Source organism: Homo sapiens, chromosome 14 (genome assembly GCF_000001405.40).
Source record: "Homo sapiens chromosome 14, GRCh38.p14 Primary Assembly".
Lineage (NCBI taxonomy): Eukaryota > Metazoa > Chordata > Mammalia > Primates > Hominidae > Homo > Homo sapiens.
This window is the reverse complement of record NC_000014.9, coordinates 60029486-60054639: the sequence shown is the minus strand read 5'-3', so window position 1 is coordinate 60054639 and position 25154 is coordinate 60029486. Positions and strand designations below refer to the sequence as shown.

At 37.8% G+C, this 25154-nt stretch overlaps 1 protein-coding gene and 1 long non-coding RNA gene across 19 annotated transcripts in view; one reads left to right on the top strand and one right to left on the bottom strand.

Annotated features, from left to right (window-relative positions):
• Window positions 1-25154, bottom strand: part of LRRC9 (leucine rich repeat containing 9) — a 147105-nt gene that overhangs the window by 12178 nt on the left and 109773 nt on the right. For 9 of the 14 annotated variants that reach the window (NM_001355272.3, XM_024449567.2, XM_047431345.1 and 6 more), the window contains 2 exons: window positions 22577-22645; window positions 1435-1575 (listed from right to left, as the gene is read on the bottom strand). In NM_001355272.3, the coding sequence (NP_001342201.1) occupies window positions 1435-1575; window positions 22577-22645 (210 nt within the window). Of the gene's footprint in view, window positions 1-620; window positions 766-1434; window positions 1576-18130; window positions 18335-18594; window positions 18684-22572; window positions 22646-25154 lie in introns of those variants that run through there. The other 5 variants (XR_002957549.2, XM_024449570.1, XR_002957550.2 and 2 more) reach the window with 5 other exon arrangements.
• PCNX4-DT (PCNX4 divergent transcript) overlaps window positions 1-25154 on the top strand; it is a 122654-nt gene that overhangs the window by 37107 nt on the left and 60393 nt on the right. For 3 of the 5 annotated variants that reach the window (XR_943918.4, XR_007064197.1, XR_943916.4), the window contains exons 3-4: window positions 1456-1520; window positions 24262-24344. This is a non-coding gene — a long non-coding RNA (PCNX4 divergent transcript). The remainder of the gene's footprint in view (window positions 1-1455; window positions 1521-24261; window positions 24345-25154) is intronic. The other 2 variants (XR_007064198.1, XR_007064199.1) reach the window with 1 other exon arrangement.

The window sequence follows — 25154 nt, the reverse complement described above, 5'->3', positions numbered from 1 at the left end:
TTTATTTGGTTGTTTTTGGAGACATGATACCCTTATTTTGCCTACAATTTCCAGTTTTGGTTTCTTTAAAATAGCAAGAATTTAAAGGCATGTGGAAAAAATCTGAACACAATAATCTGTCTAGCTTTTAAAAATAATTTCCTTACATGTTTTCTCTGCATTTTTATCATTTTCTTCATATTTTAGTTTTTTCTCCCACATCTAATTTGAACCTATGGGGGAGGGCGTTGGAAGGGGTGGGGAGAGAGAGAGTGCCCTTTATCCAGACTTTCCAAAGTATTCCATTTGGTTTTCATAGACAAATAGAAATAATAATTTAAAATTTGCACTTAGAGTCCCTGTGTTTATTTAAAATAACAAGAACTGACATACAGTTAGCTCTTAATAAGTATATGAATGTACTGCTGAAGGGAGAAGTGGACTAGAGAGGAGCCTACAAGTATCAAAAGTTGAGTATGTTCTGCAATTGGGAGTGTCACCGGAATTAATCTGGTGAGTTCAGTGAAAGCCTGTTAGGAGAGTATGTATGGTAGTCCTATCTCTTTCCTATTCAGTTTAATGTTTTTAAAGTCACCTCTGTTCATGGACTCTAATGTCCTTGGTTTCTGGTTTTCACTTACATCAAAGATTCATTTATATTCTCTACCGTGGTCCAGGTCTTCATAACATCTCTCTTGGATTATTCTAAAAGCCTCTGAGCTGGTTTCCCTTCTCCCTCCAGCCTCTTTTTTTCTCAAACCACAGCATTCTAATAATGTTACTTCTCTGTTCAAAAACCATAGATTTTCTGTGTTAAATTTAGTCTTTAGAAGATGGTCATGAAGAAACTAGGTGGTCAAAGACAGAATTTTCAAATGACATGCTTTTATTATTTCTTCCCTTTTTAATCTCTTTCCTACCATGATCAGATACATTTTAGGGCTCCTGAGTAAAAAGCCCAATTATCCTAACAAAACACACAGATAGAGGCACACATCTCCTTTCTTAGATAAACTACACAATCCAGAGAGTTGAGTTCAGAATTCCTTCCTTCCCTTTCTGTGTGCCTAAAGGGAAATAGTTTTATTGTTAGTTTCTATTTATGAAAGTGATATGTTATAGTTTCCTATGTTCTAGCATCATCTGACATATTGAGCATACAAATATTAAATAACTTTCCTTATGTCAGAGTATGAAGTATGCTATTAAGAAAAGGATGTTCCCTGACTTACATATATATGTGTGTGTGTGTGTGTGTGTGTGTGTGTGTGTGTGTGAGCACGCATGCTCTATTCACCAAATCCAGCTGCCTTTGATAGTAATCACTAAATAGATACTAAGATCATCCTTATCAAAAACGCCATAGGTTTAAACATTTAAATCAAAAGATATAATGTTCATTTACTAACCATTAATGTGCTTCAAAAGGAAAATTGTAAATAATATAATTATTACCGAGTTTTTCTTTGCTTGTAGTTCAGCGAGGTGAAATTCAGCTTTTGCCCTATCATCTGAATTCACAGGACTTCCATCTAACATCTGTAAGTTAGGCAGTCGAAATATAAGCATGTGGCGATGTAGCATTTTTCTACAAATCTGAATAAAGTTAAAAATAACAATTTATTCCTACAAAACTTTTATTTCAAAGATTAACCTGTATAGAGAAGGAAATTTAGCATAGGCAACAAAGAGGACAAATAATAGCTAACTTATAGTAATAGATGCTACAGATAATGAGCTACCTTTTTGAAAAATTACTCAATTTCCTATTATGCCAAATAAAGACTATGACTACCATTTAGAGGTTCAGCCTCCTTTTAAAGTAACAGTATTGTTCACTAACTACAGGCAATCCAAACTCATGAATAGGATTATATTATGGAAGTTCACTTAAAAGTAACTATTTTGAAACTTATATTTTCCCACAGGCACTATCTAATTAATTCAACACACACCTACTGAACTACATGATCCATCTCTTCATAGTATCAACCTACTCTAAAAATTTGAGAGGGATTTAACAAAGTTGGTTTGAGGTTGTTAACTTCAAAAGGGTCTGCTTGCAAGGATAGCTATTGCTGGTTTTAGGTATTTGGTGTTTTCAGTGTCCCCACCATTCCTTAATTGGTAAGAGGAGTTTATTGTGCCTAGACTGCTAATACGAACAATATGATTTATGCTGCACCTCATTTCCTTCTGGGGTCTGGAATTTTGGTACATGATAGGAAGAGTGTGCCTATGTAACCATCCCCCAAAAAAATCATTGAATGCTGAGTCTCTACTGGGCTGCCTTGGGCAAAAACATAACATACAAATTGCAGCATTTTAGGATGTTGCTAAAGCAGCAGTTTATAACCTAAAATGTATTGACTGATTCTGAAAAGAAATTGAAAATTAATGAGCTAGGTATCCTACTTAAGAGTTCCTTCCTTCCTTCTTCCCTTCTTCCCTCCCTGAATGTAAATGGTCTCAGTGTTCCAATTAAAAGGCATACAGTGGTGGAAAGGATATAGAAAAAAGACCTGAATGTGGGCCAAGATGGCTGATTAGAAGCAGCTGCAGTCTGCAGCACTCCCAGAGAGGAGTGAAAGCAGTGAGTGAACTCAGCACCTTCAGCTGAAATATCCAGGTTCTCACATTGGGACTGACTAGGCAATCAACTGGATCCATGGGGAACAAAGAAAAGCAGGGTGGGGTGACAGCCCACATGGGAGTGGCACAGAGCCAAATGAACCCCCATCCCCAGCCAAGGGAAGCGGTGAGTGTGCTATCGTGCCCAGGAAACCACGCTTCTCCCATGAATCTTTGCAACCCACAAATTGGGAGATCCCCTTGTGAGCCCATGTCTCCAGGGCTTTGGGTCTGATACACAGAGCAGTGTGGAGTCTTGGCAGAGTAGCTGCTCAGGCACAGAGACCCAGAAGTTTTATATACTCCAGCGCCGGGATTCTGGCAAGGCAGTAGATCTGTCTGTACATTCCCCTAGGAAGGGGGTTGAATCCAGGGAGCCAAGCAGTGTCGGTCTGCAGGCCTCAGTTTCATGGCACCTCATAAGTTAAGACCCACTGGCTTAGAATTCCAGCCAGCCAAGGGCAATAGGCTGAGTCTGCCTGAAACCAGAGGCAGTTCCTGGGGGAAGGATGAGTCTGCCTGAAACCAGAAGCAGTTCTTGGGGGAAAGGGTGGCAGCCATTTCTGTGGTTCAGTCAAGTCAGCGTTCCAGCCTGCCATCTGTAGAGAGTCCAGGTGGTCTGGACGAGGAGGGTTCCCCCTAACTGCAACACACCTGCTTTGCAAGATCATGCTCAGACTGCTTCTTTAAGTGGCACCCTGATCCATTCTTCCTCACTGGGCGGGGCCCCCTTGTGGGGGGCCTGGAGTCACTCCAGCCAGTCTTATATGCACTGAACCCTGATCTCTCCCTGGGATGGAACTCCTGTGGGGAGAGGCAGACAGTGTCTCTGTTGTTTGGTTGACTCAGCTTTTCCAGCCTGCTGGCTCTGGAGAGTCCAGGAGGTCCGGACTAGGAAGAGTCCCTCACCAATGGAGCACACTGGCTCTACCAAAAGCAGCCAGACTACTCCTGTAAGTGTGTCCTTGATCCTGTTCCTCCTGACTGGGTGAGAACTCTTAACAGGGGTCTCCAGACACCTCCTACAGGTGCATTTGGGCCAGCAACAGGTCAGTACCACCCTGGGATGGAGCTTACAGAGGAAGGAGCAGGCTGCCATCTTTGCTGCTTTGCAGCCTTCACTGGATATACCTCCAGGTATGGGAAAAATGGAGGCAATTAGGGTCTGCGGTGGACCCCCAGCAAACTGCAGCAGCCCTATGGTTGCTAATAATTAGTGGCCTGATTGTTAAGAACAAACAAACAGACAAGAACATCAACAAAAATGACCCCACAAAAGCCCCACTCAAAGCTCAGCAATCTCAAAGATTGAAGGTAGATAAGCCCCTAAAAATGAGAAAAAAATCAATGCAAAAACATTGAAAACACAAAAAGCCAGAGTGCCTCTTCTCCTACAAATGACCACAACACCAAATAACCAGCAAGGGCACAGAACAGGGCAGAGGCTGAGATGGCTGAATTGATAGAAGTAGGCTTCAGAAGGTGGGTAATAACGAACTTCGCTGAGCTAAAGGAGCATGTTGTAACCCAATGCAAAGAAGCTAAGAAACATAATAAAACAATACAGGAGCTGATAATCAGAATAGTCAGTTTAGAGAGAAACGTAACTGACCTGATACAGCTGAAAAACACAACATGAGAACTTTACAATGCAATCATAAATATCAATAGCAGAATAGACCAGGCAGTGAAAGGATCTCAGAGGTTGAAGGCTATCTTTCTGAAATAAGACAGGGCCGGGCATGGTGGCTCATGCATGCAATCTCAGCACTTTGGGAGGCCAAGAAGGGTGGATCACCGGAGGTCAGGAGTTTGAGACCAGCCTGGCCAACATGGTGAAACCTGTCTCTACTAAAAATACAAAAATTAGCTGGGCGTGGTGGTGTGTGCCTGTAATCTTAGCTACTCAGGAGGCTGAGGCAGGAGAATCACTTGAACCCAGGAGGTGGAGGTTGCAGTGAGCCGAGATTGTGCCACTGCACTCCAGCCTAGGTGACAGAGTGAGACTCTGTCTCAAATAAAATAAAATAAAATAAAATGACAGATAGAAAAGATTAGAGAAAAAAGAACAAAAAGGCATGAACAAAACCTCCCAGAAATATGGGATTATATAAAAAGATCGAACCTATGACTGATTGGGGTACCTGAAAGAGATGGGGAGACTGACACCAAGTTAGAAAATATACTTCAGGATATTATCTAGGAGAACTTCCCCAACCTAGCAAGACAGGCTAACATTCAAATTTAGGAAATTCAGAGAACCCCAGTAAGATACTCCATAAAAAGATCAACCCCAAGACACATACATAATCGTCAGATTCTCCAAGGTCAAAATGAAAGAAAAAATGTTAAGAGCAGCCAGGGAAAAAGACCAAGTCACCTACAAAGGGAAGCCCATCAGACTAACAGCATACCTTTCAGCAGAAATCCTAAAAACCAGAAGAGACTGGGGGCCAATGTTCAACATTCTTAAAAGAATTTCCAACCTAGAATTTCATATCTGGCCAAACTAAGTTTCACAAGTGAAGGAGAAATGAGATCCTTTTCAGACAAACAAATGCAGAGGGAATTTGTCACCACCAGGCCTGCCTTGCAACAGGTCCTGAAGAAAGCACTAAATATGGAAAGGAAAAACCATTAGCAGCCACTACAAAAACACACTGAAGTACACAGACCAGTGACACTATGAAGTAACTACATAAACAAGTCTGCAAAATAACCAGCCAGCATCATGATGACAGAATCAAATTCACACATAACAATACTAACCTTAAACGCAAATGGTCTAGATGTCCCAATTAAAAGACACAGAATGGCAAGCTGGATAAAGAACCAAGACCCCAATATCAGTATGATATTGGTTGGGAGATTGTAATATATGGCTCTTATTATTTTGAGGTATATTCCTTCAATAACTAGTTTATTGAGAATTTTTAACATGAAGAGATGTTGAACTTTATCAAAGGCCTGTTCTACATCTATTGAAATAATTATGTGATTTTTGTCTTTAGTTCTTTGCATGTGATGAGCCACATTTATTGATTTGCACGTGTTGAACCAACCTTGCATCACAGGGATGAAGCCAACTTGATCATGGTGGATAAGCCTTTTGATATGCTGCTGGATTTGATTTGCCAGCATTGAGGATTTTTGCCTCAACAGTCATCAGAGATAGTGGCCTGAAGTTTTCATTTTTTGTTGTATCTCTGCCAGGTTTTGGTATCAAAATGATGCTGGCCTCATAAAATGAGTTAGGGTGGAGACCCTCCTTTTCAATTTTTTGGAATAATTTCAGTAGAAATGGTACCAGTTCTTCCTTGTACCTCTGGAATTAAGCTGTAAATTTGTCTGGTCCTGGGCTTTTTTTTGGTTGTTAGGCTATTTATTACTATCTCAATTTCAGGACTCATTATTGGCCTATTCAGGGATTCAATTTCTTCCTAGTTCAGTCTTGGGAGGGTGTACCTATCCAGGAATTTATCCATTTCTTCTAGATTTTCTAGTTCATGTGCATAGAGGTGTTTATAGTATTCTCTGATGGTTGTTTGTATTTTTGTGGGGTCAGTGGTGATATTCCCCTTACAATTTTAGATTGTATTTATCTGATTCTTCTCTCTTTTCTTCTTTACTAGTCTAGTTAGCAGTCTATCTATTTTATTAATTTTTTCAAAAAACCACGTCCTGGAGTTGTTGATTTTTTGAAGGGATTTTCATGTCTCTTTCCTCCTTCAGTTCTGCTCTGATCTCAGTTATTTCTTGTCTTCTGCTAGCTTTGGTGTCTGTTTGCTCTTGGTTTCTAGTTCTTTTGGTTGTGATGTTAGGTTGTTAACTTGAGATCTAACTTTTTGATGTGGGCATTTAGTGCTATAAATTCCCCTCTTAACACTGCCTTTATCTGCCCTCAGAGATTCTGATACATTGTCTCTTTGTTCTCATTAGTTTCAAAGAACTTCTTGAGTTCTGCCTTACTTTTATTATTTACCCAGCAGTCATTCAGGAGCAGGTTGCTCAATTTCCATGTAGTTGTGTGGTTTTGAGTGAATTTCTTAATCTTAAATTCTAATTTGATTGTATTGTGATTTGAGAGACTGTTTGTTATGATTTCAGTCCTTTTGCGTTTGCTGAGGAGTGTTTGACTTCCGATTATGTGATTAATTTTTGAGTAAGTGCCATGAGGCAATGAGAATGTATATTTTGTTGCTGGGGGGTAGAGAGTTCTGTAGATATCTATCAGATCCACTTGATCCAGAGCTGAGTTCAGGTACTGAATGTCTTTGTTAATTTTCTGTCTCAATGATCTGTCTAATACTGTCAGTGGAGTGTTAAAATCTTCCACTATTATTGTGTGGGAGTCTAAGTCTCTTTATAGGTCTCTAAGAACTGCTATGAATCTGGGTGCTCCTTTATGGTGTGACTATATATTTAGGATAGTTAGCTCTTGTTGAATTGAAACATTTACCATTATGTAATGCTCTTGTCATTTTTTAATCTTTGTTGGTTTAAAGTCTGTTTTGTCAGAAGCTAGGATTGTGACCTTTGCTTTTTTCTGTTTTTCATCTGCTTGGTAAATTATCCTTCATCCCTTTGTTTTGAGCCTATGTGTGTCTTTGCATGTGAGATGGATCTCTTAAAGACAGCATACTGATGGGTCTTTCAAGCATTTCCCTTGAAAACTGGCATAAGACAAGTTGTCATGTCTCTATCCTCCTTCAGTCTCTCACCACACCTATCCAACATAGTATTGGAAGTTCTGGCCAGGACAATCAGGCAAAAGAAAGAAAGAAATAGTATTCAGATAGGAAGAGAGGAATTCCGACTATGTTTGTTTGCAGATGACATGATCCTGTGTCTAGAAAACCTGATAATCTCATCCCAAAAGCTTCTTAAGTTGATAAGCAACTTCAGCAAAGTCTCAGGATACAAAATCAATGTGCAAAAAAGCTAGCATTCCTATACATCAACAGCAGGCAAGCAGAGAGTCAAATCATGAATGGAACTCCCAATCACAATTGTTACAAAAAGAATAAAGTACCTAGAAATACAGCTAACAAAGAATATGAAGGACCTCTTCAAGGAGAACTACAAACTACTGCTCGGGGAAATCAGAGAGGACACAAACAAATGGAAAAACATTCCATGCTCATGGATAGGAAGAATCAATATTGTGAAAATGGCCATATCAGCAAAAGTAATTTATTGATGCAGTGTTCTTCCTATTAAACTGCCATTGACATTCTTCACAGATTTAGAATGGAAACTATTTTTAAAAAGAGCCCAAACAGTTAAGACAATCCTAAGGAAAAAGAACAAAGCTGAAGGCATCATGCTACTTGACCTCAAACTATGCCACAAGGCTACACTAACCTAAACAGCACGGTAGTGGTACAAAAACAGACACATAGACCAATGGAATAGAATAGAGAACTCAGAAATAAGACCGCACACCTACAACCATCTGATCTTGGACAAACCCAACAAAAACAAGCAATGGGGAAAGGATTCCCTATTTAATAAATGGTGCTTGGAGAACTGGCTATCTCATATGCAGAAAATGGACACTGGATGCTTTCCTTACACCTTATACAGAGGTTAACAAAAGATGGATTAAAAACTTTAATGTAAAATCCAAAACTATAAAAACCCTGGAAGATAATCTAGGCCATACCATTCAGGACATAGGCACAGGCAATGATTTTGTGACAAATATGCCAAAAGCAATTGCAACAAAAGCAAAAATTGGCAAATGGGATCTAACTAAACTAAGGAGCTTCTGCATGGCGAAAGAAACTATCATCAGAGTGCACAGGCAACCTACAGAATGGGAGAAAAATTCTGCAATCTATCCATCTGACCAAGGTCTAATATTCAGAGTCTACAAGGAACTTAAACAAATTTACAAGAAAAAAGCAAACAACCCTATTAAAAAGTGGGCAAAGGACATGAACAGATACTTCTCAAAAGCAGACATACATGAGGCTGATGAACATATGAAAAAAAGCTCAACATCACTGATCATTAGAGAAATGCAAATCAAAATCACGCTGAGATACCAACTTGCACCAGTTAGAATGGCAATTACTAAAAAGTCAAAAAACGACATGCTGGTGAGATTGCAGAGAAAAAAAAGCTTTTACACTCTTGGTGGGTGTGTAAATTTGTTCCAACATTGTGGAAGACAGTGTGGCAATTCTTCAAAGACGTAGAACCAGAAATACCATTTGACCCAGCAATCCCATTACTGGATGTATACCCCAAGGAATATAAATCATTCTATTAGAAAGATACATGAACGCGTTTGTTTACTGCAGCACTATTCACAGTAGCAAAGACATGGACTCAACCCACATGCCCATCAGTGATAAACTGGATAAAGAAAATGTGGTACATTTAAACCATGGAATACTATTCAGTCATAAAAAGGAATGAGATCATGTCCTTTGCAGGGACATGGATAGAGCCGGAAGCCATTATCCTGAGAAAACTAACACAGGAACAGAAAACCAAACACCACATGTTTTCATTTATATGTAGAAGCTGAATGATAAAAACAGACGGACACATAGTGGGAACAACCCACCCTGGGGCCAGTCAGGGGTGGGAGTCGGAGAGGGAGGCCATCAGGAAGAATAGCTAATAGATGCTTGGCTTAATACCTAGGTGATGGGGTGACCTGTGCAGCAAACTACCATGGCATATGTTTACATAAGTAACAGACCTGCACATCCTGCACATGTACTCCTGAACTTAAAATAAAAGTTGAAATTTTTTTTTAAAAAAGAAAGAAAGAAGACCCAACTATATGCTGCCTTCAAGAAACTCATTTCACCTATAAAGATACACATGGACTGAAAGGGGTGGAAAAAGATATTCCATGCAACTAGAGCACCCTGCCCCTTCAAATAAAAGAGCAGCAGTAACTATACTTATATTAGATAAAAGAGTCTACAAATCAAAGACCTTCAAAAAAAAAAAAAAAAAGACAAGGAAAGGCATTATATAATGACAAAGGTTTCAATTCAGCAAGACAATATAACCATTATAAATATCTATGCACTGAACACTAGTGCTCCAAAATATATAAAACAAACATTAATAGACCTAAAGAAAGAGACAGACTGCAACACAATAATAGTAGTGGACTTTAATATCCCATTCGCAGTCATGAACAGATCATCCAGACAGAACGTTAATAAAGAAACAGTAAAGTTAAACTATACACTAGATCTAACAGGCCTAACTGACATTTATAAACATTTCACCCAACTGCTTCAGAATACACATTCTTTTCAACAGCACATGGAACATTTTCCATAATAGACCATATCTTAGGCTACAAAACATGTTTGTACAAATTCTGAAAAACAAATAATATCAAGTATCTTCTTGGATCACAATGGAATAAAACTAGAAATCAATAACAAGAGGAACCTTGGAAAATACACAAGCATATGGAAATTAAACAACATGATCCTGAATGACCAGTGGGTCAATGAAGAAGGGAATTAAAAAATTTATTGAAACAAATGAAAATGGAAATAAACCATACCAAAATCTATGGGATTATGGCAGAAGCAGTACCAACAGGAAAGTTTATTGCAATAAATGCCTATGTCAAAAAAGTTGAAAGTCTTCAAAATAAACACCCTAATGATGTGCCTTAAGCAACAAGAAATGTAAAAACAAGCCAAGCCCTAAATTAGTAGAAGGAAAGAAATAATAAATATCAGAGCAGAAATAAATGAAATTCAGACTAAAAAACAGAAGATCAACAAAACAAAAAGTTGCTTTTTCAAAATATAAACAAAATTGACAAACCTTTAGCTGGGCTAAGAAAGAAAAAGAGAAGACCTAAAAAATGAAATCAAAAATGAAAAAGAAGATGTAATAACTGAGACCTCAGAAATACAAAGAATTATTGAGACTATTATGAACTATACTCTAATAAATTGGAAAACCTAGAAGACATGGATAATGTCTTCTCGAATGCATACAACCTACAAAGATTGAATCATGAAGAAATAGAAAACCTCAACAAACCCAATAACAAGTAATGAAATAGAAGCTGTAAAAAACATGTCCCATAAAAGAAAAGCCCAGTACCTGATGAATTCACTGCTGAATTCTACCAAACATTAAAAAAGAACTAATACCAACTACTTAAACCCTTTAAAAAAATTGAAGAGGAAGGAATACTTCCAAACTCATTCTACAAGGCCAGCATTATTACCCTGATACCAAAACAAAGCAAGGCAAAAAAAAAAAAAAAAAAAAAAGGAAAAGAAAACTACAGGCTACGCTCACTGATGAATATAGATGCAAAAATCTTCAACAAAATACTAACAAACTAAATGTAACAACACATTAAAAAGATCATTCACCATTATCAGGTGGGATTCATCTCAGGGATGCAAGGATGGCTCAACATATGCAGATCAATAAACATGTTATACAATATTAACAGAATCAAGAACAAAAACCATATGATTATTTCAATAGATGCCAAAAAGGCATTTGATAAAATTCAGTATCCTTAATGAAAACTCATCAAAATGGGTATAGAAGGAACATACCTCAAGATAATAAAGGCCAACTGTGACAAACCTATGACTAGCAGCATAATGAATAGGGAAAAATTGAAGGCCTTTGCTTTAAAGACTGGAACAAGACAAGAATGCCCACTTTTACTGCTGTTTTTCAATATAGTAGTGGAAGTAATGTCTGGAGCAATTAGACAAGAGAAAGAAAGAAAGGGCATCCAAATTGAAAAGGTAGGAGCAAAATAAGCCTTGTTTGCAGACACTGTGATCCTATGCTTAGAAAAACCCAAAGTTTCCCCAAAAAACTGTTAAGAGCTAATAAATGAATTCAGTTAAGTTGCAGAATACAAAGTCAACATACAAAAATCAATAGCATTTATATATGTCAACAGCAAACAATTTGAAAAAGAAATCAAGAAGGCAATCCTGTTACAATAGCTACAAAAAGTATAAAATACCTAGGAATCAATCTAACCAAAGAAGTGAAAGATCTATGCAAGGAAAACTATAAACCTCTGATGAAAGAAATAGAAAAAGACACACAGAAAAAAGGAAATTTATTCTATGCTCATGGATTGGAATAATTAATATTGTTAAAATGACAATACATGGGAGGTTCCAAGATGGCCTAATAGGAACAGCTCCAGTCTACAGCTCCCAGTGTGAGCGACACCGAAGATGGGTGATTTCTGCATTTCCAACTGAGGTACTGTGTTCATCTCACTGGGGCTTGTCGGACAATAGGTGCAGCCCACGGAGCATGAGCCAAAGCAGGACAGGGCATTGCCTCACCCGGGAAGTGCAAAGGGTGGGGAAATTCCCTTTCCTAGCCAAGGGAAGCCATGACAGGCAGTACCTGGAAAATCGGGACACTCTCAGCCTAATACTGTGCTTTTCCAATGGTCTTAGCAAACGGCACAACAGGAGATTATATCCCGCGCATGGCTTGGAGGATCCCATGCCCACGGAGCCTCACTCACTGCCAGCACAGCAGTCTGAGATCGAACTGCAAGGCAGCAGCGAGGCTAGGGGAGGGGCATCCGCCATTGCTGAGGCTTGAATAGGTAAACAAAGAAGCTGGGAAGCTCGAACTCAGTGGAGCCCACCACAGCTCAAGGAGGCCTGCCTGCCTCTGTAGACTCCACCTCTGGGGGCAGGGCATAGCTGAACAACAGGCAGCAGAAACTTCTGCAGACTTAAACGTCCCTATCTGACAGCTTTGAAGAGAGTAGTGCTTCTCCCAGCATGGAGTTTGAGATCTGAGAACGGACAGACTGCCTCCTCAAGTGGGTCCCTGACCCCCAAGTAGCCTAACTGGGAGGCACGTCCCAGTAGGGGCTGACTGACACCTCATACAGCTGGGTGCCCCTCTGAGACGAAGGTTCCAGAGGAAGGATCAAGCAGCAACATTTGCCGTTCTGCAATCTTTGCTGTTCTGCAGCCTCCGCTGGTGATACCCAGGCAAACAGGGTCTGGAGTGGACCTCCAGCAAACTCCAACAGACCTGCAGCTGAGGGTCCTGACCGTTAGAAAGAAAACTAACAAACAGAAAGGACATCCATACCAAAACCCCATCTGTACATCACCATAATCAAAGACCAAAGGTAGATAAAACCACAAAGATGGGGAAAAAACAGAGCAGAAAAGCTGAAAATTCTAAAAATCTGAGTGCCTCTTCTCCTCCAAAGGAATGCAGCTCCTCGCCAGCAACAGAACAAAGCTGGATGGAGAATGACTTTGACAAGTTGAGAGAAGAATGCTTCAGATGATCAGTAATAATAAACTTATCCGAGCTAAAAGAGGGTGTTCGAACACATCACAAATAAGCTAAAAACCTTGAAAAAGGATTAGACGAATGGCTAACTAGAATAAAAGTATAGAGAAGTCCTTAAATGACCTGATGGAGCTGAAAACCATGGCAGGAGAACTGCGTGACATATGCACAAGCTTCAGTAGCTGATTTGATCAAGTGGAAGAAAGGGTATCAGTGATTGAACATCAAACGAATGAAATGAAGTGAGAAGTTTAGAGTAAAAAATGCATAAAGCCTCCAAAAAATATGGGACTATGTGAAAAGACCATATCTACGTGTGATTGGTGTACCTGAAAGTGACGGGGAGAATGGAACCAAGTTGGAAAATGCTCTTCAGGATATTATCCAGGAGAACTTCCCCAACCTAGCGAGGCAGGCAAACATTAAAATTCAGGAAATACAGAGAATGCCACGAAGATACTCCTCAAGAAGAGCAACTCAAAGACACATAATTGTCAGATTCACCAAAGTTGAAATGAAGGAAAAAATGTTAAGGGTAGTGAGAGAGAAAGGTCGGGTTACCCACAAAGGGAAGCCCATCAGACTAAAAGTGGATCTCTCAGCAGAAACTGTACGAGCCAGAAGAGAGTGGGGACCAATATTCAACATTCTTAAAGAAAACAATTTTCAACCCAGAATTTCATATCCAGCCAAACTAAGCTTCATAAGTGAAGGAGAAATAAAATCCTTTCAGACAAACAAATGCTGAGAGATTTTGTCACCACCAGGCCTGCCTTACAAGACCTCCTGAAGGAAGCACTAAACATGGAAAGGAACAACTGGTACCAGCCACTGCAAAAACATGCCAAATTGTAAAGACCATCAATACTAGGAAGAAACAGCATCAACTGATGAGCAAAATAACCAGCTAACATCATAATGACAGGATCAAATTCACACACAACAATATTAACCTTAAATATAAATGGGCTAAATGCTCCAATTAAAAGACACAGACTGGCAAATTGGATAAAGAGTTAAGACCCATTGGTGTGCTGTATTCAGGAGACCCATCTCACAGGCAGAGACACACATAGGCTCAAAATAAAGGGATGGAGGAAGATCTACCAAGGAAATGGAAAACAAAAAAATGCAGGGGTTGCAATCCTAGTCTGATAAAACAAGACTTTAAACCAACAAAGATCAGAATAGACAAAGAAGGCCATTATATAATGGTAAAGGGATCAATTCAACAAGAAGAGCTAACTATCCTACATATATATGCACCCAATACAGGAGCACCCAGATTCATAAAGCAAGTCCTTAGAGATGTACAAAGAGACTGAGACTCCTACACAATAATAATGGGAGACTTTAACACCCCACTGTCAACATTAGACAGATCAACGAGACAGAAAGTTAACAAGGATATCCAGGAATTGAACTCAGCTCTGCACCAAGTGGACCTAATAGACATCTACAGAACTCTCCACTGCAAATCAACAAAATGTACATTCTTCTCAGCACCACACCGCATTTATTCCAAAATGTACCACATAGTTGGAAGTAAAGCACTCCTCAGCAAATATAAAAGAACAGAAATTATAACTGTCTCTCAGACCACAGTGCAATCAAACTAGAACTCAGGATTCAGAAACTCACTCAAAACCGCTCAACTACATGGAAACTGAACAACCTGCTCCTGAATGACTACTGGGTACATAACAAAATGGAGGCAGAAATAAAGATGTTCTTTGAAACCAATGAGAACAAAGGCACAACATACCAGAATCTCTGGGACACATTTAAAGCAGTGTGTAGAAGGAAATTTATAGCACTAAATGTACACAGGAGAAAGCAGGAAACATCTAAAATAGACACCCTAACATCACAATTAAAAGAACGAGAGAAGCAAGAGCAAACACGTTCAAAAGCTAGCAGAAGGCAAGAAATAACTAAGATAAGAGCAGAAATGAAGGAGATAGAGACACAAAAAACCCTTCAAAAAAATCAATGAATCCAGGAGCTGTTTTTTCAAAAGATCAACAAAACTGATAGGCCACTAGCAAGACTAATAAAGAAGAAAAGAGAGAAGAATCAAATAGACTCAATAAAAAATGATAAACAGGATATCACCACCGATCCCACAGAAATACAAACTACTGTCAGAGAATACTATAAACACCTCTATGCAAATAAACTAGAAAATCTAGAAGAAATGGATAAATTCCTGGACACACACACCCTCCCAAGACTAAACCAGGAAGAAGTTGAATCCCTGAATAGACCAATAAAAGGGTCTGAAATTGAGGCAATAATTAATAGCCTACCAACCAAAAAAAGTCCAAGACCAGAAGGATTCGCAGCCAAATTCTACCAGAGGTACAAAGAGGAGCTGGTACCATTCCTTCTGAAACTATTCCAATCAATAGAAAAAGAGGGAATCCTCCCTAACTCATTTTATGAGGCCAGCATCATCCCGATACGAAAGCCTGGCAGAGACACAACAAAAAAGAGAATTTTAGACCAATATCCCTGATGAACATTGATGCAAAAATCCTCAATAAAATACTGGCAAACCGAATCCAGCAGCACATCAAAAAGCTTATCCACCACGATTAAGTCGGCTTCATCACTGGGATGCAAGTCTGGTTCAACATTCGTAAATCAATAAATGTAATCCATCATATAAACAGAACCAAGGACAAAAACTACATGATTATCTCAATAGATGCATAGAAGGCCTTCGACAAAATTCAGCCCTTCATGCTAAAAACTGTCAATAAACTAGGTACTGATGGGACGTATCTCAAAATAATAAGAGCTATTTATGACAGACCCACAGCCAATATCATACTGAATGGGCAAAATCTGGAAGCATTCCCTTTGAAAACTGGCACAAGATAGGGATGCCCTCTCTCACCACTCCTATTCAACATAGTGTTGGAAGTTCTGGCCAGGGCAATCAGGCAAGAGAAAGAAATAAAGCGTATTCAGTTAGGAAAAGAGGAAGTCAAATTGTCCCGGTTTGCAGATGACATGATTGTATATTTGGAAAACCCCATTGTCTCATCCCCAAATCTCCGTAAGCTGATAAGCAACTTCAGCAAAGTCGCAGGATACAAAATCAATGTGCAAAAATTACAAACATTCCTATACACCAATAACAGATAAACAGAGAGCCAAATTGTGAGTGAACCCCCATTCACAATTGCTTCAGAGAAAATAAAATACCTAGGAATCTAACTTACAAGGGATGTGAAGGCCCTCTTCAAGGAGAACTACAAACCACTGCTAAAAGAAATAAAAGAGGACACAAACAAATGGAAGAACATTCCATGCTCATGGATAGGAAGAATCAATATTGTGAAAATGGCCATACTGCCCAATGTAATTTATAGATTCAATGCCATCCCCATCAAGCTACCAACGACTTTCTTCACAGAATTGGAAAAAACTACTTTAAAGTTCATATGGAACCAAAAAAGAGCCCGCATTGCCAAGTCAATCCTAAGCCAAAAGAACAAAGCTGGAGGCATCACGCTACCTGACTTCAAACTATACTACAAGGCTACAGTAACCAAAACAGCATAGTACTGGTACCAAAACAGAGATATAGACCAATGGAACAGAATAGAGCCCCTGGAAACAATACCACACATCTACAACCATCTGATCTTTGATAAACCAGACAAAAACAAGCAATGGGGAAAGGATTCCCTATTTAATAAATGGTGCTGGGAAAACTGGCTGGCCATATGGAGAAAGCTGAAACTGGATCCCTTCCTTACATCTTATACAAAAATTAATTCAAGATAGATTAAAGACTTAAATTTAGACCTAAAACCATAAAAACCCTAGAAGAAAACCTAGACAATACCATTCAGGACATAGACATGGACAAGGACTTCATGACTAAAACACCAACAGCAATGGCAACAAAAGCCAAAATTGACAAATGGGATCTAATGAAAGTAAAGAGCTTCTGCACAGCGAAAGAAACTACCATCAGAGTGAACAGGCAACCTGCAGAATGGGAGGAAATTTTTACAATCTACCTATCGGACAAAGGGCTAATATCCAGAATCTACAAAGAACCTAAACAAATTTTCAAGAAAAAATCAAAGAACCCCATCAAAAAGTGGGCAAAGGATATGAACAGACACTTCTCAAAAGAAGACATTTATGCAGCCAACAGACACATGAAAAAATGCTCATTATCACTGGCCATCAGAGAAATGCAAATCAAAACCACAATGAGATACCATCTCACACCAGTTAGAATGGCGATCATTAAAAAGTCAGGAAACAACAGGTGCTGGAGAGGATATGGAGAAATAGGAACGCTTTTACCCTGTTGGTGGGACTGTAAACTAGTTCAACCATTGTGGAAGACAGTGTGGCAATTCCTCAAGGATCTAGAACTAGAAATACCGTTTGACCCAGCCATCCCATTACTGGACATATACCCAAAGGATTATAAACCAAGCTGTTATAAAGACACATGCACACATATGTTTATTGTGGCACTATTCACAATAGCAAAGACTTGGAACCAACCCGAATGTCCATCATTGATAGACTGGATTAAGAAAATGTGGCACATATACACCATGGAATACTATGCAGCCATAAAAAAGGATGAGTTCATGTCCTTTGTAGGGACATGGATGGAGCTGGAAACCATCATTCTGAGCAAACTATCGCAAGGACAGAAAACCAAACACCACATGTTCTCACTCATAGGTGGGAATTGAGCAATGAAAACACTTGGACACAGGGTAGGGAACATCCCACACCAGGGCCTGTCGTGGGGTTGGGGGAGTGGGGAGGGATAGCATTAGGAGATATACCTAATGTAAATGACAAGTTAACGGGTGCAGCACACCAACATGGCGCATGTATACATATGTAACAAACTTGCACGTTGTGCACATGTACCCTAGAACTTAAAGTATATATATAAAAATAATAATAAAGTACATGAAGCCACAGAAGGCAAAAAAAAAAAGAGGCAAAGAGTAACTTTACAACAGAAAAATCTGGCAAACACCACTTTAATCAAGTGATCACAGTGAATAGGACAAATTAAAATTGTGTGACAGATACATGGAGAATGCAACATCCAGCTTTGCAATATACCTCCCCAAAATGCACAACCTGAGTCTATTCATAAGATGTCACCAGATGAACCCAACTTGAAGGACATTCTACAAATTAACTGGTCCGTAATCTTCAGAAGAGTCAAAGTCATCAATGTGAAGGAATCATCATGCCCTTTGGCTTCTCTGGTCTGGAAGATTCCTCAGTCTGGAGGAGGAATCTTCTAGACTGGAAGAGCTAAAGGGACATGACCACTAATGCCTCTTAGCAATGCATGATCCTGGCTGAATCCTTTTGCTATAGCAGACATTATGAGAACAATAGGTGAACCCTGAGTTGAGGCTAAGGATTAAATGTTGCTATGGACTGAATGCTGATGTGCCCCCAAAATTCATATATTAAAGCCCTAACCCCTAATGTAATGGTATTATTAGGAGTTGGGGTCTTGGGAGGTGATTATGTTTAGATGAGGTCATCAGGATGGGGTCCTTGTGATGGGACCAGTACCCTTATAGAGGAGTATAGAAGAGACCAGGAGTTTTTGTGCCCTCTTCACATCCAACCCTTCCCACCAGAGCCATGTTAGGATACAGTAAGACAACTATCTGCAAGCCAGGAAGATGGTCCTCACCAGGAACTGAATCAGTTGGCATTTTGATCTTGTACTTTCAGCCTCAGAATTGTGAGAAATAAATATCTGTTGTTAAAAAAAATGACAATACTACCCAGAGCAATTTACATATTCAGTGCAATCCCTATCAATATACCTAAAACATTCTTCACAGAAATAAAAAAACAAATCCTAAAATGTTCCCGAATAGCCAAAGCAATCCTGAGCAAAAAGAACAAAGCTGGAGACATCACACAATGTGACTTCAAATTTTATTACAAAGCTATAGTAACCAAAACGCCATGGAGCTGGCATTAAAAACAGACACATAGACCAATGTGACAGAATAGATAACCCAGATATAAATCCATGCATTTACAGTCAATTCATCTTTGACAAAAGCACCAAGAACTTACAATAAGAAAATGACAGCCTTGTTAATAAATAGTTCTGGGAAAAGTGGATAACTCTGTATATGAGAATGAAAATTGACTTCTGTCTCTCACTATATACAAAATAAAAATGGATTGAAGACTTGAATCTAAGACCTGAAACTATGAAACTACTAGAAGAAAGCATTGGTGAAATCCTCCAAGACATTGATTTGGGCAAATATTGTGTAAGACATCAAAAGCACAGGCAACCAAAGCAAAAATGGATAAATGGGATTACATCAAGCTGAAAAGCTTCCGTACAGCAAAGTAAATAATCAACAAAGTAAAGCTACAACCCACAGAATGGGAGAAAATATTTGCAATCAATCCATCTGACAAGGGATTAGTAATCAGAACACATAAGAGCTCAAACAACTTAACAGCAAAAAATAAATAAATAATCAAATTTTAAAACTGTTAAAAGATCTGAAAAGACATTTATCAAAAGAAGACATACAAATGGCCAACAGGTTTACAAAAAAAAAAAAATGCTCAAAGTCACTAATAATCAGAGAAATGCAAACCAAACCACAATGTGGTATCATTTTACCCCAGTTAAAATGGCTTATATCAAAAATACAGGCAATAACAGATGCTGGTAAGGATGTGGAGAAAGGGGAACCTGTGTACACTGTTGGTGGGAATGTAAATTACCATTATGGTAAACAGTATGGAGGTTCCTTAAAAAACTAACAATAGAACTTCCATGTGATCCAGCCATTCCACTACTGGGTATGTATCTAAAAGGAAGGAAATCAATACATCAAAGAGATACCTGCACTCCTATGTTTATTGCAGCATTATTCATAATAGCCAAAATATGGAATCAACCTAAGTGCCCATCAGCGGATGAATGGATAAAGAAAATATAGTATAGCTACACAATGGAACATTATTCAGCCATAAAAAGAATGAAATCCTGTTATTTGCAGCAATATGGATGGAATTGGAAACCATTATGTTAAGTAAAATAAGCCAGGCACAGAAAGACAAATATCACATGTCCTCACTCATATGTGGGAGCTAAAAAAGTGGATCTCATGAAGACAAAGACTAGATTGGTGGTTACCAGAGTCTGGGACGGGGAGCGGGGATGAGAGATGGGAATGAAAGGAATAATAAAGAATATAAATATATTTATTTCCACTAAACTGGACATTTAAAAATGTAAAGATGGTAAATTGTATATGTATGTTTTACATCAATACAAATTTTTAAAAATAAATGAAAAACAATTCATGAAAGTACTATGACAGCAATACATTAAAAATTTACAGGCTGAGCACGGTGGCTCACTCCTGTAATCCCAGCACTTTGGGAGGCCGAGGCAGGTGGATCATGAGGTCAGGAGATTAAGACCATGCTGGCCAACATGGTGAAACTCTGTCTCTACTAAAAATACAAAAAATTAGCCAGGCATGGAGGCACGCGTCTGTAGTCTCAGCTACTCGGGAGGCTGAGGAAGAATTGCTTGAACCCAGGAGGCAGAGGCTGCAGTGAGCTGAGATTGTGCCACTGCACTCCATCTTGGGTGACAGAGAGAGACTCTGTCTCAAAAAAAAAAAAAAAAAAAAAAAGAAAGAAAAAATTACATAAAAAGGCCAATTTTCTAGATAATACAACTTCTCAGAATAACTTTTTAAGAAATACAAACGTGACTAGCTTTATAGCCATTAAAGAATTTAAGTAGTTTAAAATATAACCTCAAAAAATATTAAGCCCAGAGTTCTAGAGATAAGGTTTAATTATCCTTCCAGAAGAATATGAGACATTGAGTATCAAAACTCCATAGATTGGAGAAAGAGGGAATGCTCCCAAATTATTTTATGAAGCAAGTAAAACTTTGAGAGAGTTGAAAAGAATACTAAAAGAAGATAAAATTATAGGATAATTTTACTTATTTCCATGGATACAGATATGCTACATAAAATATTAGCAAATTGAATCCAATAAAATATAAAACATGACCAAGAAGTATTCATCCCAGGAATTTCAAGATGGTTTAACACTAGTCTATTAACGTAATTTACCATATTAACAGATTAAAGAGAAAAACTATATTACCAATTACTGAAAAGGCAATGCCCATTCAAGACAAAACCGGTAGGAAACTGGAACTAGAAAGGAATTTCCCTAAACTTTTATAGGTTATCTTCCCATAACCTACTGAAAACATCATATTAAGTAGTGACAACTTTAAAGCATTCTTTTGAAATTAGTAACTTACTATAAGTACTTCTAATTCAACACTGTACTAGGGGTCCTAGATAGCACACTAAGAGAAGCAAAGGAAATTAAAAATATGAGAATTGGAAAGAAATGATAGTCAAATTTGCAGATAATAATCTATACAGAAAATCCAAAAAAATTTACAAACCATTAGAATTAAAAAGAGGGTTCAGCAAGATTCCTAGATGAAAAGCAATATACAAAAATCAGAATGTATACACTCCAGCAACAAACAATTAGGAAAATATAAAAAAGACACTATTTTAAAAAGCAATTAAAACAACAATAAATCTAACCAAAGATGATTAAAATCTTTATGGAGAAAATTACAAATATTTATTCAAAGACATGAAATAAATGGAGTGATATATATGTTTATGAATGCGAAGGTTGAATACTATAAATATTAGGGGATACTGTTTATTGCTATTTCCTTCTTGGTGGAAGTAGCTCTATGATGTGGCCCTCCTGGGTTTTCTCAACCCCTTCACTTCCTCTCTACTAGGGGAAGTGGAGTGATTTAACTCCCTTCTTGGGAAGAAAGTGTTCTGGAAGAATGTGTTTTGCTCTCCAAGAGAAGCTCTCCTCCTGTGCGGAAAAAGCTCAGTGTAGTATTTTCTATATCTGGGTGATCATGATTGACTATTTCTGAGATCTGATAACATGCTCCTTTGACTTCTCACTAAGCTAAGCTGATATTTTTGCCTCTCCATTGTCATATTTCTCAATCTGTTTAGAAATTGGGTGAACAAGGGTGCTACTTATTGGGTTCCCTCAAAGATTCCAACAGGAAAGGTTGCAAATGTCTCCCCAAACTAATTTATAAATTGAATGTCATTCCAATTAAAATATCAACAAGATTCTCATGTAACTTGAGGAGTTAGTTCCTAAAATTTATAGAAAAGTGTAAAGGGCCAAGAATAGCCAAGGCAGTGAAGAAAGAGAAAGAAATAATGAGAAAGAGAAGGAGGTGAAAGAGGAAGAATTAAAGGTGCTTATTCTACCAGACATCAAGGCTTACTACAAAACATCAATTAATTAACACTATATAATATTGGCACAGGGATAGAAAAATAGGCCAAGGAATACAATGTTGAAACCTGAAACAGACCTTCTTATTTATACATGACAATAACAGTTTGCACTGTAATTAGTTGGAAGAAGTCAATAAATTTGGGCTGGGATGACTGGCTATGCATACAGAAGCATAAAACTAAATCCCTTTCTAATACCATATAAAAATAAATTTTATAAAACTACCAGTAAATTAACTAATAAATTAGAATGGTAACATACTCACTGGATTGCCATACACTGTAAGCTCCCTGAGAGTAGAGATAACGTCAAGTTTTTCCAGTTCTGTGATATCCTATTCAAAAGTTAATCAGTAAGTTATTATTTGGTTAGACTCAACATCTTAAAATATAGACTAATTTGAAGTAATTATATGTAAGTGTTAGTTTGCAGCTAGCTCATGATTGAATTCTCTGAAGTGAGCTTGAGTGACAGTATTCTGTATTCTTGAATAAAGGCAGAGCTGTGTACTGTAGATTTCAAATACATGACTGGCAAAGATAACAGCCTAACATGGAAAATTGGCTATATAGCAGCACTTGCAAGAAAAGATCAAATTTTTTTCTCAGAATTATGATTTATTCTAGGACTCATATTATATTTGGTTAATTCCTCCAGCACATTGACCAGAAAGTATGGAAAAGGTGAATCAAATCTAAAAATTTTAAAGGTACATAATTAAACACAGCCTTAACCATAAAGGAATGTGTAATATTGAGTGGATTGCGTCTTGATGTACTTGCTGGGAATATATATAGCTGAAAAACTATTTCTCATGTTAAATAATTTGCCTTCTCTATTGCATAGCATTATTTATTAGCTTCCATTTAACATTGGTGAAAGTTTGCAAATACATTTTAGTTTTTGCAAAATTATTTCTAAAATGCTATTTCTGACAAACTTTAGCCAACAAGCTCAGCCTAAGGTTGTTGCTAGTTCATATAACACAACAAAGTTATTGACATGCCTGTATTCCTTTGTGGAATTACAAGTGGACATATAGCAAATTCTTCTAGTAACTGTAAAAATATTTAGACCTATTTTAGATCATGTGGAAGTGAATTTGATTTTTAAAATGACTGATCTTTACTATTTTAATTTTGGAAGTATCATAAATGAGGGCTTTGAAAAATCTGTAAATCTATAGAGATATTGTGCATTTTTACCCACAAGCAGTTTCTATCTGTGGAACCAAAGCCTGATCAGTAATCATGGACATGCGAAAAGTCTTACATTATTTTCTCAAATTAAACCGAACACAACAGTAGTCACTAGTGAAATATTCCTAATCAAAATGTCTGTTTTTCACAGAAAATGTTAATATGGGAAATAGACTATTAAATCTGTAGAAGATAATGATGGCATAAACTTTTAAAGAGACATCAGGGAAACTAATATGTCCATAATTGTGGGGAAAGGGCTGATGGCTTCCCATTTTTAATATGCAGCATTTTTTTTTACAGTAGTGTGCTGCTACTGGCTCACAAAAAGTCAATTGGTAAATTTTTAGGAATTTTGTGAGATGGTGTGTTAGCCTGAAATTGGCTATGACAGAAGAAATTATACCACAGAAATTGGCAAATGTTACTAATTAGGGATTTTTTTCCTCTTGGAGAGCCAACTGTTAAGCATTAACCAGGATACCAATGGTTGTTGCAATGTCAGCATAAGTACCTAAAGCAGTTATAATAATAATTGTGCCTGGATTGGGGCCTTTGCTGAGGACAGGAAATAGCAATAGACTATTCTTGGGGTTATTTTCAGCTTCAGGTGATTAATTATATGTTTAAAAGTAGACAGAGTAGCTGGATGCCAGGTAGGGGAATCATTTACACACAGGGATCAAACAGGACTATCAAGGTGAATTAAATAATGAATCTTTCAATTGTGTTTCTGTGATTCTTCCTTTAGAAGCAAGACGATAGACAACAATTAGCTAAATCTACATTATTGGACATGATGGCTAAGTAAAAAACATCACACCAGAATCAAGGGTATGTATTATATTTTATCAAGGATATAGCTTCTGAAGGATGTTAAAGTAGGTCAATGAGGGGCTGCATATACCTTCACTTGAAATATTGTTCCTTTGTTAATTTTTCTAGGCTTTCTCCCATCTATCAATCTTTATCAACCCAAAGTTTGCAATCTGATTGTCCCTTTGTTGAAATTAATGCTGGTATCAGCCTGCCCATGTTGGTATGAATCTACAGATAGAATCTCTCTCAAAAATCAAATTTGAAGTGAGAGTTCAGAAGTTTGAAGACAATATGTTTTCAGTAGAATTCAACAGAATTTCCAACATAACCTTCCTATTCCTCTGAGTTCATTTTTTTTTCTCAGCTAAATGTATGGTCACATTAAGGTACTATAATATTAATGGTTAGAATAAGCTTAATGGCAAAATGATCAATCTAAATTCAATGGAAAATACCATTTCAAGGATAAAAACAAAGAAGAGCTGGTCATTAAATAATCAATAATGCTCACTTCTTCATTCAATGATATGTAGAATCTCTCATGATATATAATTTGTCATTTAGCTATATTAGATTTTGAAAATAAATAAGCTTGACTAAGTATGGTTGTTATACCAGCTGATCTCTATCCATTCATTTGCTTAAGAGGGATAGAGGAGTAGAGAGGTGGGGCAGGGACACTCTTGTGGAAAAGCAGATTACCAGGTCTAATCTGGTAACTGGACATCCTGTCAAATAAAGCAATGATACTTGCTAGGAAGAAGGTCCTCATTTATGATATTCTCTTAGCAGATCTTCTTGATTAAGGACTGCCTGTAATAAATA